At 35.4% G+C, this 14794-nt stretch overlaps 1 protein-coding gene across 1 annotated transcript in view; it reads right to left on the reverse strand.

The window, feature by feature from the left end:
• The window catches only part of CCDC39 (coiled-coil domain 39 molecular ruler complex subunit), a 65482-nt gene that overhangs the window by 44198 nt on the left and 6490 nt on the right, over positions 1–14794 (reverse strand). Inside the window, exons 2-6 of the mRNA NM_181426.2 lie at positions 5662–5781; positions 3656–3802; positions 2365–2523; positions 1472–1564; positions 1247–1375 (exon numbers count right to left, since the gene is read on the reverse strand). Of these exons, the coding sequence (NP_852091.1) occupies positions 1247–1375; positions 1472–1564; positions 2365–2523; positions 3656–3802; positions 5662–5781 (648 nt within the window). The remainder of the gene's footprint in view (positions 1–1246; positions 1376–1471; positions 1565–2364; positions 2524–3655; positions 3803–5661; positions 5782–14794) is intronic.

Genomic DNA, 14794 nt, shown 5'->3' on the forward strand with positions numbered 1-14794 from the left:
TCCAGCCTGGGCGATAAGAGTGAAACTCAGTTTCAAAAAAAAAAGGTAGTATCAGCATTAATTAAAAGAACCTCCTTAAAAAAAAAAAAAAAGAATTAAGAGAACCTCTGCCAGGCGCGGTGGCTCATGTCTGTAATCCCAGCACTTTGGGAGGCTGAGGCAGGTGGATCACGAGGTCAGGAGATCGAGACCATCCTGGCTAACACACGGTGAAACCCCGTCTCTACTAAAAATCCAAAAAAATTAGCCAGGCATGGTGGCGGGCACCTGTAGTCCCAGCTACTCGGAGGCTGAGGCAGGAGAATGGCGTGAACCCGGGAGGTGGAGCTTGCAGTGAGCAGAGATCAGGTCACTGCACTCCAGCCTTGGTGACAGAGCAAGACTCCGTCTCAAAAAAAAAAAAGAGAGAATTAAGAGAACCTCATAGTTAAGATTGGTTCTCCTTTGTCCCTCCTAGGGAGGTATAACCAGTTTTGTTGATAAAATGTTGGTTACTTACAGAAATTGAAAATATAACAACCAAAAGTAAACCACACCCAGATACCAGAATTTAAACTCCCAGTAGCCTGAGCTGCTTGCCAAATGCCTTTCCATGGAGTAGATAGAATTTAACCCATCTTCTCACCTGACTCTGAATTCCTTCTCTTTCTCAAATCTTCCCACTTTTATTCCCCATTATTTCATTCCTTAATGATTTTCCAAAAACATTCTCCTAAATTACCTCTGAAAATAACAAGAGATAACACTTGGTCTGTGTTATCAGTGCAGTATTCCCCGCTTCCAAGCCTCTTTGTCATTATTGGTGTCTCAGCTTCAAAAGTGAAACTTTACTGCAGTCTAGGTTTCTTTTCTGACTCCTTGTCCCTTGGCTGTTCATGGAGGTTCCATTTCCCTACTGTAACTTATTGCCAAATAGCATACACATTAAATCCAAGGGACCTTGGACAGCCATGTGTAAGTCAGGGCATTGGTTTTATTGCCAGAACAGTATCTACTGACTCTTTCTTGTTCCGCAATTCTGAGATGACAGGATCCAGTGTTTGGAGTTATAATACTACACTCAAATAATCTTCATCACATTTCCAAATGGATATAGAGTCAGCTTTCAAAAATATTTACCAAAACTACTGAATATTGCTACAAAAGTGACTTTCAAATAACAATGTGATTTACATTTGGAATAATGAGTTAAATACAAAAGAGACAAATGCAGCTGAACATTACAAGGACCAAACAACTACTTTACCAAAGCACAGTTATCTATGTCTCCATCCCTCTTCTGCATCTGTTCTATTGTGTTCTCCCATTGTTTAATGAGTTCTTGTCTTTCATTATGAATCTTACGAAAATCTTGTGCTGCTTTATCCAATTCTAACTGTCAAACAGAGAGCAAAGAACATTTCTGTGAATTTAAGTGGTTTTGCAAACATCACCTTGAAAATTAAGAAATAAAAATCTTCCTTAAACTAACCTGTGCGCTTATAGTCTCTGTAAGTTCGTTGTCAAGTATCTTTCTTTTCTGATTACATTCCAAAGTTAGTCTTTCTAATTGCAGAGTCAGTGCCTATGATGTAATTATATACAGATACTTATAATTCTCATTCTATTAATTTAAATGTTATTAGTGTATCTAACATTAAATAGTATTACACTATACATTTACATTTATTTTATATCTAAAACTGTGAAATAATAAATATCTTTCTTATCTTTTAACCCCAAAAAGCTAATCTAATGTGTTTGCATATAGCTGCATAAAAACTCAATTGTTTCTAAAATGACTTTTAATATTTTTAAAGTAAATTAGAAAAAAGATTAAGTTATAATTTCCTATTTGAAAGTTTTAAAATAATGCATTGGTATTAAATCTACTAGAAAATAGCATGTTTTATAATACTAGCTTTATTAGTATCACCAGATATAAGTAGATTTTAAGTGATTTTTATAACATAATCAATAGCACTACAGTCTCAAATCAGCAAAAACTACATGTAATATTCAAACTACATTTTAGGCAAAATAGCTAAAATATATTAAAATAGTTCTAGTGGAAAACTTTCTCTTCTGAAATGCTTTTGAGCATCCTTATAAATCAGGATATTCTTAACCTGCGATCCATGAATCCTCAAATAATCAAAGGGAATCAGAGAATCTATGAAACAGTCAGCAATATTTTATGGGTATTTGAATATAGTCATTTTTTCTACAGAGAAGACATTTGGCTTTATTAGCTTCTCCAAGAAGCCTCTGACTCAGAAGTTTAAGAATTGCTGCCTTAAAAATCCTAAGTATAACTTTAGGTAAATAGGTTGACATACTACAGAGTTAGAGAAAACCTAACAGTTACAATTTGTAATTTCTCACCCTGATTTTATTATCATCTTGTTGTGCATACTTCTGGAGAGTGAGAGCATCACTATCTTTATGAGCTGATTCTTCTAACCAGGCCTCCAATGCTTGCTGGTCCCAGTTCATTTGACATTTCAAACCATCCAATTTTTGAGTGGCTTTAAATATGCCATTCTAATTTCCAAAGAGAGAGAGAAAAGGGGAGATTACAAAACATTACTTACTATACAGACTAAAATAAAACATACCTTTATATACTATGGAGCAAAATTAAAAATGAGGAAATCCTGTCCCTGCCTTCCAGATGTTTATAATATGCCATATTTTAATAATATAAACTATAATTATATAGCTTGTATCTTAATTCTTTCATTGTAAAATAGAGGAGAGATGACTATACAAAGTCAAGAACAGTAGTTGAGCCAAAGCTTGCTTTAAAAGCCTTTAGGCTTTAAGGTAGCTCCCTCACAGCAACTGCATTAATCATTCCACCAAAGCCACCCCAAATATATATGCAATCATAATTAAAATAATATGTTTGGTATGCTAACTCAAATCCAAGACAAGTATCCTTCAGCCCCATTTCCAATCATATTGTTTGCCCTAAGAAGTCTCTTATAGAGAAATTTTGGAAACATTTCTAACTGAAGTAAATATAGTAAAAGAGATAAAAACATTTATGTATATTTAGTCACTTAACAAATCTAGACTCATAAAAAAACAGAGACAACTATATAAACAAATACAAATTAATAAGTATGTAATTATACACAAAGATTACATTATAAAATATGTAAGTGTATTTCCATATGTATATGCACATGTAAAGAGAAGAATCAGAATTTGGAAAGAGCTCCCAAATCAAGTAACTATAAACTAAAGAAAAGACAGAAATAGGTTAAAGTAGTTTAATGTTAGAGTCACAAAACTGATAAATCAATATGAAAGGTCAATATTTTAAATGAAATTCAAAACTAAAAGTATTTTTTAAAATGTGGCTGTTAAAAATCTAACACTTACATATAAACCACGCCTAGTATTTTATAACAGGCAGCAAGCATGGTACTTTGCATATAGTAAGCCTCAGTAAGTAGCTGATGAATGAATAATGGGAAAATGTACTATTCTATTATTGTTTCATTCAAATCACAGCTCCATGTGCCTTTCACTGTCCAAAAAATACGTAAGTAAACACTAGGAAACTAATGTATGCCTTTCCCATACAAGAAAAAAAAAAGTCAATGCTCATTTGGTGATGGAAGAATGAGCAGTAGCACAGAATTTTAAGTAATATTTCAACATATACTTCTTTATCACTTTTCTTTTCCAGTATTGAAGCCATCTCATTTTCCAGCCGTTGAATTTCATCTTTCACTCGTCCCAATTCTCTTTGAGCAATGGCCTTAAAATGTTCTTCACTTTCAGTCTCACGCTCCCTTGCTTTGCAAAGAGACTACAGAATAACACACAAGATAAAAAGGCTTTTAAAATTTTAGAAATTTTGAATACAAATATTTATAATAATCCATTAGATTAAAACAAAGTTCCCATAAATTGCTTACATTAAGTACTACTAATTCCACTACTCTAAAATCTACATTACATTAGACTGTGATTACAATATAGTTGGTGTTGCTCACTAGTTGTAAGAAAGTCAATGAACTGTGCTAGGAGAAAATACTGTCAATAGTTTTCAGATACTACGCTGGTCTAGGAAAACTAAAGAAAACCAAAGTTTCAGTTAGACTTAAAACTTATTATCTACAAATAAGAAATATCCATTAAAAAACAGTTGAGAAATGACATGTTTTATATGAATTGATCACATATTCTAATTAACAGACATTATTTTTAAATAATTATTTAAACACCAATGGTTGTGAATATTCTCTAGAATATATTAGCATATAATCACATCTTTATGTTCAGTTTTATGTAATAAAAGAGTATGTGTTAACTAATTTTACAGTGCTTCAAAGTTATCACTTAGTATTAATTTTACAGTACTAAAGCTACCATTGTTGGAGGTTTATTATTCTTTTGTCTCTATTACTCTATTCATTTGAGGTTTGATGATAATAAGATACAACTACAGAGTCTCTGCCTCTCCAATCCCCAGCTCAGTAGTTTAACAACTTAAGGAAAAGTGTTGTTCCAAATAGTTTATCAATTACTCAATCACATTGAGATTCAAGAATTCTGAGTTTGTTTTTAAGTTTATTAAATTTGTAACTTTCTAATAAGACTTGTAAGTCATGAAATACTTATCTATATTGATTATAAATTGCTTTTTAAAATATGGCACTGTTCATTTTTTTGAAACTACATACTATTTCTCAGACAGTAGATGCACTTTAAAAAAACTAGTTTGAGACAGAAGTTAGAAAACTCTCCAATGCTGTTTGCTGAGCTGCCTGGTTTGCTGGGCATCATTAGGGAGTGAGTTTCTACACTTGAACAGATTATGAAGCTTACTTAATAACCACAAGTTTTAATTTTTATTATATTTATGTTAACATTTCTAAGATGCCTAATGTCTTCCCCAGTTATCTTAAATAAAGTCTCTTAAGTATAATCTAACTTTTTAATCTCAGGATTATTATTATGAATTTCAATTCTTGAACAATGCTAAGATGTGTAGACTACTGGCCTCCACTCAAAATGGCCCCAGTGAGTTGTGCTGAAAAATTAAAAAGGAGACAGAAATTTTATTATGTATTATATTAGTTCTGTTTCTGCTTATAGCCATCATTTCTCACCACCATCATTGTACCTTTCTCAAATAACCTGCTGTCTAATACAGATTGTTTGAATAATGATTTCTCCTTTCATATGGATTAATTTTTTGGTTAAAATTGGAGCAGTCGCAGCACTTTGGGAGGCTGAGGCGGGAGGATCACCTGAGGTCAGGAGTTCGAGACCAGCCTGACCAACATGGTGAAATCCCATCTTTACCAAAAATACAAAAATTAGCTGGGGGTGGTGGGTGCCTATAATCCCAGCTACTCGGGAGGCTGAGGCATGAGAATCTTTTGAACCCAGGAGGCAGAGGTTGCAGTGAGCTGAGATCACGCCACTGTACTCCAGCCTAGGAAACAGAGCGAGACTTCATCTCAAAAAAAAAAAAAAAATTGGACCAGTAGTTAGTTCCTCTAAGCCTTTTTCTATCTACTTTCATGTTCAAGGTTATGTTCACAATAGTTTAATTATGCTAAGGTTTCCTATTATAGCTGTAAAAATCGCAGATGTAAATATACTATGAGATGTTCCATGACTACACGATATAATCAACATAAATTTCAGTTACTGTACCTGTGTAATTGAGAGCTCTTGCTTAACATTTTTGAAGTGAGAAGTCATAGAATTAATTCGCTCTTCATACTCACGTAACTCATCTTGCAAGCTTGCTCTTTCATCCTTCAGCTTTGACAACTGTAAATAATAAATACTATGATTAACCAAAGTCCTATTAAGTTTTACCATATGAAGGACCTAAAATCAAAGAAAATTAAATTTTCATTTACATTGTCTTAGTCAATTTGGACTGCTATAACAAAAATATCATAGACTAGGTAGCTTAAACAAAATTTAATTTGATTCATGAGAAATTCCTCACAGTTCTGAAGGCTAGGAAGTCCAGGATCAAGGTGCCAACTAATATGATTCCTGGTGAGGGCCCTCTTTCTTATTTGCAGACAGATGCCTTCTTGCTGTATCTTCACATGACAGAGAAAGAGATCATCTCCCTCTTGTCTTTTCTTAAAAGAGCACCAACACCATTCATGAGGGCTCTACCTCTATGACCTGTTTACTTCTCAAAGGCTTCACCTCGAAATACCATCACATTGAGGATTGAGACCACCATATGAATTTTGGGAGGACACAAACATTAAAAACATAGCATTTTGTTTCTTTAAATGTCCACATGAACTTCTAAAATCTACTAATTCTTTAAATGTTATAAAATAGTGTTGTGATTTGGAGATTGCTGTGGGAAAATTAGCACCATATTACACGGAATGGAAATCTCTCTTAGATTTGCAGCGGTAGCAGATCTACTCAAAAATGCATTTTTCATACAGCAATACTATATTTTTATAGGGCAAAAATGAGATTCTACTCCATTATTAAACCACAAGAGATCTTTTTTTTTTTTTTGAGATGGAGTCTTGCTCTTGTCACCCAGGCTGGAGTGCAGTGGCGCGATCTCGGCTCACTGTAACCTCTGCCTCCCGAGTTCAACGAGATTCTGCTGTCTCAGCCTCCTGAGTAGCTGGGATTACAGGTGCCCACCACTACACCTGGCTAATTTTTTTTTTTTTTTGGTATTTTTAGTAGAGAAGGTGTTTCACCATGTTGGCCAGGCTGGTCTCGAACTCCTGACCTTAGGTGATCTGCCCACCTCAGCCTCCCAATGTGCTGGGATTACAGGCATGAGCCACCACACCTGGCCTAAACCACAAGATATCTTAAGCGAACAAGAGCATACTAACAAGATGTAACAAAAACAGAGCAGGAACCATAAATGTGAATAGTCGCAAGGCATCAAGCATGATTTCTTCTCCAAGAACTCCTTTTCAAACCCCATTGAACTGGGCTAAGTTTAAGAGAACAGAACAACTGACTCTTATGTACCTAGAAACTGTTGCTTAATGTATTTTGTTTACCTTTGAATTATAACTCTGACTGGAAACAAAACTGTGTAAATGTTAAACAAAATAAATCCTTGGGAAATTATAAGACAGATTCTCAGGATTATTAGAATATACTGTCCCTCAAAGCAGCATATAAGCTCAACAAAATAAAAATATGCTTTCTTGAGGTCTGGAGCTACAGTCCCCAAAGTCAGGGATATCTCCTGAGGGTACACAACACAATCCACGGAAGTGTGAAAGGAAATATTAGAATTTCAATTTAAGAAAAAAATACTAATTTACTCATTTGTATGTCCTATACTAATATTAAATTTTTTTTTGCTTTTTGTGTCATTAAACTTTTAATTCCCTCTCGTTTCCTGTTCTTTTTTTAAAAAGTTATTAAAATGAGTTCTTAGTTTCTTTACTTTTTGTCTTAATGATTGAATTAAAAAGGCATTTAAGGCTATATGTTTTCTTTAAATAAAATTTTTGCCGTTTCCCATGGATCTGGGCATAAAGCAGTCTCTTTATTGTTTTCTAAAAGGTGATTTTTCCTTTTCAATTTCTTTTTCATATAAGGGCCACCCAAGAATATTTCTCAGAAACATGCCTAAGTATTTAATACGGAGGATCATTTTTAATTATTTAATAATTTTTAAAAATAATTTAAAAATAATCTATTATAAATTCTATTGGCTTATCATCAAATAATGTGACCTACAAAATGTTTGTTTGTACAGCATTTTAGGGATTATAATTTTTTAATTTTGGCAAAATATACAACATAAAATATTCCATTTTAACCATTGCTATGTGTACAGTTCAGTGGCAATAAGTACATTCACCCTGTTATACAACCATTACCACCAATCCATCTACAGAACTTTTTCATCTTCCCTGAACCTCTATACAGATAAACACTGACTCCCCATTCCCTGCTCCTCTCAGCCCCTGACATCCACCATTCCACTTTCCATCTCTATGAATTTGACTACTCTAGGTACCTCATATAAATGCAATCATGCAATATTTGGCCTTTTGTTTCTGGGTTATTCACTTAGCATAATGCTTTCAAGTTTCGTCATTGACTTTTAATGCATTAAGATTTTGTTTTGGTATAGTACATGATCCACTCTTGTAAATGTTTTATGGGTATGTTTTAAGGTGTATGTTATCTATTCAAGAGACAGGTGTCTCTATGTTTTTACTTTTATTGTATTATATCCCATATATCCTTATTTTTGTCTAGTAGAGTTGTCTAATTCTGAGGTGCTCATTAATGAAATAGCTCACTGTAACTGTACTTTTGTCAAAGTCTACTTGCATTTATAATAGGTCTTGCTTTTAAGTAATTAGCTTTTGTGTTTTGTACATACAGCTTTATGACTTTTATTTGCTTCATCAATTATGCCATTTATAATTGCATAATGTCCCCAGAGCAAACTTCTGACTTTTAAATGAAAGCATAATTAACTCTCCATAAGTTGAAAAGCCCTTCCCCAAAGAGTTTCCAAACAACATTTTATAGCTTCTTTCTTAAATATAAAGGGACATGTAACAATCACCAGATATTTATTGAAAACTTACATCATGTGCAGGATGCCAAAATAAGCAAAGAAGATCCCAGAAGAAACAGATAATTCAGGACAAAAAAGACAAGAACTAAATACATACACATTACACATACGCACACACACACACACAATCAGATTGGAGAAGATATTTTACCCCTAAAACAAGACCATGGTGCTACAAAAAAGCAACAAAGAACTTGAAAATATAGTTCATCAATATAGTTGCCGAAATAAAACATGCAATGGAAAGATAAAACCCTAAATACTTTCAGAGTTTTTTTTTAAAAAAGGTAAACTACAAAGAAACAGAAATCAGACTAATATCAGATTACTAACTGAAACACAGCTGGAAGATAATTGATACATTCCAAATTCTGAAGTAAAATTATTTTCAACTTAGAGTCTTCTACCCAGTCAAACTACCATCAGATGTGAGTGTAAATAAAGATATTTTCAGAGATTCAAAGATTCAGAGTGTTTACATCTCAAACAGTCTTCTTATGGAGACACAAGAAACTATTCTATCAAAATAAGGGAATAATACAGACACACTCCATTTCATTGCACTTTATTGTACTTCTCCAATGGCACATTTTTAACAAAGTGAAGGTTTGTGGCAACCCTGTGTCTAGCAAGTCTATTAGCATCATTTTTCCAATAGCATGTGCTTATTTTGTGTCTCTATGTCACATTCTGGTACCTCTTGCAATATTTAAAATTTTTTCATTATTATTATATCTGTTATGGTTATCAGTGATCAGTGAGCGTCGATGTTACTATTGTGATTGTTTTGGGGTGCCACAAACCGTGCCTCTCTAAGACAATGAACTTAATCAAAAAATGTTGTATCTGTTCTGACTGCACCACTGATCAGGCCTCCCTCATCTCTCTCCCTCTTTTGGGGCCTCTCTATTCCTTGAAACACAATATTGAAATTAGGCCAATTAATAACCTTGCGATGGCCTCTATGTATAAAAATCAAAAGCTAGAAATGATGAAGGCCCAAAGTTGACATTGGCCAAAAACTCAGCCTCTTGCACCAAACAATTAACTAAGTTGTGAATACAAAGGAAATGTTCTTGAAGAAAATTAAAAGTGCTGCTCCCTTGAACACACAAATGATAAGAAAGCAAAATAGCCTTATTGCTGAAATGGAAAAAGTGAGGTAGGGATGGGTCTAGACTCCAGAGGCAGGACTCAGACACCAGACCAAATTGAGGACTAGCTAAAACAGGTTCAGGCGAAGGCAGGTTTCTATAAGACATGCTCACCAGTGTGCCATGTCAGTTCACCTTTGCCATGGCAACACCCAGAAGTTATTACCCCTTTGAACCAGGCACAATGGCTCATGCCTGTAATCCCAATATGTTGGGAGGCCAAGGCGGACAGATCACTTGAGACCGGGAGTTCAAGACCAGTCTTGCAAACATGGCAAAACCCATCTCTACTAAAAATAAAAAAAAATTAGCCGGGTATGGTGGCACACAATGGTAGTCCCAGCTACTTAGGAAGCTAAAGTAGGGGGATCACTTGAGCCTGGGAGACAGAGGTTGCAGTCGGCTCAGATCATGCCACTGCACTCTAGCCTGCGCAAAAAAATGAGACCCTGTCTCAAAAAAACAAAACAAATGAAAAAACCAAGGACTCTTCCAGACTTGGGGTCTTCAGATATGCTGGTGTCTCTTCCTAGAACATTTTTCTTCCCTAATGGCTAGTTGTATATTATTATTCAGGGCCTCATATTATTCAGTTTGTATATAAAATTAGAGAGGCCGTCCCTGCCCACTTAATTCAATACAGTTTTTCCCAGTTATTTTCTCTCATGGCAACCTTTTCACATTTAGTAATTACCTTCAAACAACTTACCACAATTAGTAACTATGTTTCTATTTGTTGTTTATTTATTTTCTATCTTTGCTACTAGATTATAAGATGAATGACAACAGGAACCATATGCATTCTTAAAAATTTTTTGCTTAAGCTTAATAGCAAGAAGCATATGCATTTTGTTCACCAGACATTCACAATCTAGAGTAATGCCTAGAACATAATAGCACTCAATAAAAATCCACAGAGAGAACAGATATAGGAATTACAAGAGTTTTAGATTTGTATGGAGTTATATCTGTCAGTCCTTTCTTTGGTGATTTTTATGTTTTGTGCTACACTGAGGAATGCCTTTCCCAGATTATTTTAAAAGTCTCCAATAATTTCTTCTCATACTTATATAATTACATATTCTACAGCAAAATTTGTAATGCACATGAAATGCATGTTCGTATGTGAGAGGAAGCAGATTCATAACTCTTTTTTCAAAACAAATAGCAATAGACCATTCATTAAATAGTTTATCTCTCTCCTTTGATTTGAAATGCATTCTTTTTATATTAAATTCTCACACATGGAAAGATATGCTTCTGGATGTCTGGTGTTTGGCTGATTTATTTATCTTTACAAAAGTGCCACACTGTTTTGAGTAGCATAGCTTTTTAGTATGGTAGGGCAAAACATACTACCACCACCATCACAACTATTCTGTCTAGTATCACACACTTTCACCTCCAAATGAACTTTGGAATTGAGTTGTCAAGTGTTTTTTAAAGAGCCCTAGGCATTTTCACTGAAACTTTCTTGAATATACAGAATAATTTAAGAACTGAAACTTTTATCATATTGTCTTCCTACCCAGAAATATCTAAATGTCTCCATTTGTTCAGATCTTCTTTTATGTAATTAATTCTTAATATACTTGCACATGACCAGATTCAGAGCATTTCTATAACCCCAGAATTAGAAGAAACCTCCAAGATTGCCCTGACTACAAAATGTACATCAGCAACATGCAGTGCTTTTACACTTCCACTGATTAGGTACTCACTACCTCCTAAGGAAATACATTTTCCCACAATAGATAATGAAATAGATAATGACTTGGATAATGAAATAAGTCTCATAGGGAAAATGTCAGAGGGGTCCTGTAATTGTCCTGTTTCACAATTTCCTTATCTACACAAAATGCTTTTTTAGTGATGATTATCTTGACCAGTATCTATAAAAATTTTTAAAAATGTACACGTCACAAGGCTGCATCAGATCGTTGACTGCTCTGTTGAGCACTGTTAATGAAAGAGATGGATGTAAATAAAGTCTTTATAAAGGGGCACTGACTTCACAGCCAAATATTATGCAATATTTCTGAAATCATTGTTACTTTTTTTCAGTGTTTTCATCATTGTTCCTGGCACATAGTAATCTCTTGATTAATACTCACTGAATTAACGAATCGATCGTTCTTATGGATTTTTTCTCCTCATAACGGGGACATAACTACATTAAAAACATGTTCTAATGCAGAGGAACAGTAAAGACCTCTCTAATTACAGACTTTCAATATCCTTTTCTGGGAAATACACATTCATAATTTGTTTTTGCCCATGACAACCACTGCCTTGTAAAAAAAAAATTATGTAATATACTTAATATTTTTAAGGATGTGTACAAGTATTATCATGTAATTAAGTTGGGTACAGTGGTGTGTATGGAAGGGGTGTGTGTGTGTGTGTGTGTGTGTAATTAATTCCTGAAGATGAGTGACATTAAACAAAAGCTGACAATTTTCTATGACTATTTCCTAGAATCCAAGGCAAAGAAGAAAAGAAAGGTCTTTATATCAAAGTATTCTCACCTACAAGTAAAATGGTCCTAAAAATCAAAAGATTTGGTTAAACCAATACTTTAAGAAGCTTTGATATTCAGAGGTCCACACTTTTACTAGTGGAAAAACACACTTTACTGATTTTATTCATTTACTCTAATTCCACAGATGGTGCTTCATGTCTGTATATGTAAAGTACCACAGTGCCTTTTTTTTCTCTTTTTTTTTTTTTTTTGCTTTCTTTACTTTTTTTCATTTAATTTCTTGAAATAAATCAAAAGTGCTACTCCCTTGAACATACAAATGATAACAAAGCAAAATAGCCTTATCACTGATATGGAGAAAGTGAAATATGAGGTGGGTCTAGACTCAAAGGCAGGGCTTCAACCAAATTGAGAACTAGCTAAAGCAGGGATGAAGGGGAAGCAGCTTTCCATAAGACATGCTTGCCAGCGTCCCATGTCAGTTTACCATTGCCATGGCAACACCCAGAAGTGATCACCCCTTTGGGCTGGATGCGGTGGCTCACACCTGTAATCCCAACATATTGGGAGGCCAAGGCTGGCAGATCACTTGAGGCCAGGAGTTCAAGACCAGCCTGTCCCACATGGCAAAACCCTGTGTCTACTAAAAATACAAAAACTAGCTAGGTGTGGTGGTATGCACCTGTAATCCCACCTACTTGCAGGGCTGAGGCACAAGAATGCTTGAGCCTGGGAGGCAGAGGTTGCAGTGAGCCAAGATGGTGTCACTGCACTCCAGCCTGGGTGACAGAGCAAGACTCTGTGTCAAAAAAAAAAAAAAAAAAAAAAGTTATCACTCCTTTCTATAGCAACAACCCAATCACCTGGAAGTTACCACCCTTGTTTTAGAAACTGCTGCATAATCTGACCCTAAGTATATGTATAATTAAAAGTGGGTATAAATATGACTGCAAAACTGCCTCTGAGCTGCTACTCTGGGCACCTGTTTTCAAGTATCCCTGCTCCACAAGGAGCAGTACCTCTGCTGCTGCATACTTCCACTTCAATAAAAGTTGCTGTCTAACACCACTGGCTCACCCTTGAATTATTTCCTGTGTGGAGCCAAGAACCCTCCAGGGCTAAGCCCCAATTCTGGAGTTTGCCTTCCCTGCATCAAAAGATTTAGTGGTCCAGATAGAGGATTAAATCAGCCACAATCAGCTTACAGGTGCAGTGGTGTGATCTCGGCTCACTGCAACCTCTATCTCCTGTGTTCAAGCGATTGTCCTTCCTCAGCCTCCTGAGTAGCTGGGATTACAGGCATGCACCACCATTCCTGTAAGCCAAAGCCTAATCCAGAGAAGGGCCCTTAACTTTCTTCAATTCTATGAAGGCTGAGAAGGGTGAAGAAGCTGCAGAAGAAAAGTTTAAAACTAGCAGAGCTGGGTTCATGATGTTTAAGGAAAGAAACCATCTCCACAACACAAAAGTACAAAGTGAGATAGCAAGTTCTGATGTAGAGGCTGCAGCAAGTTATCTAGAAGATCTAACTAAGATCATTGATAAAGGTGGCTACACCAAACAACAGATTTTCAACATAGATGAAACAGCCATATATTAAAAGAAGATGCCATCTATGACTTTTATAGCTCAATAGGAGAAGTCAATGCCTGGGTTCATAGCTACAAAGGACAGGTTGACTCTTAGGGGCTAATGCAGCCGGTGACTTTAAGTTGAAGCCAACACTCATTTACTATTCTGAAAATCCTAAGGCCCTTAAGAATTGTGCTAAATCTACTCTGCAAGTGCTCTATAGATAGGAAAAAAAAGCCTGGATGACATGTCTGTTTACAACATGGTTTACTGAAAATTTTAAGCCCACTCTTGATTCCAGCTGCTCAGAAAAAAAGGAATATTACTGCTCATTGGGCCAGGTGTGGTGGCTCACACCTGTAATCCCAGCACTTTGGGAGGCCAAGGCAGGCAGATCACTTGAGGTCAGGAGTTCAAGAGCAGCCTGGCCAACATGGTGAAACTCCATCTCTACTAAAAATACAAAAATTAACCAGTCATGGTGGCACATGCCTGTAATTCCAGCTACTCAGAAGGCTGAGGAAGGAGAATCGCTTGAACCCAGGAGTTAGAGGTTGCAGTGAGCCAAGATCACACCAGTGCACCTCATCCTGGATGATGACAGAATAAGGCTCCATCTCAAACAAACAAAAAATTAATGCTAACTGACAATGCACCCGGTCACCCAAGAGCTATGATGGAGACGTACAAAGAGATTAATGTTTTCATGCCTGTTAACAGAACATTCTGCAGCCCATGGATCAACAAAAAATTTTGACTTTCAAGACTTACTTCAGAAATACATTTTGTTAGGCTATATCTGCCATAGATAGTGATTCCTACGATGGATCTGAGCAAGGTAAATTGAAAACCTTCTGGAAAGGATTTATCATTATTGATGCCATTAAGAACATTCATGATTCATAAGAGAAGACCAAATATTGGTATTAATAGGAGTTTAGAAGAAGAATATTCCAGCCCTTATGGATGAGTTTGAGAGGTTCAAGACTTCAGTGGAGGAAGTAACTGCAGATAAGGTAGAAA

Source organism: Homo sapiens, chromosome 3, assembly GCF_000001405.40.
Source record: "Homo sapiens chromosome 3, GRCh38.p14 Primary Assembly".
In the NCBI taxonomy this organism is placed as follows: Eukaryota; Metazoa; Chordata; class Mammalia; order Primates; family Hominidae; genus Homo; species Homo sapiens.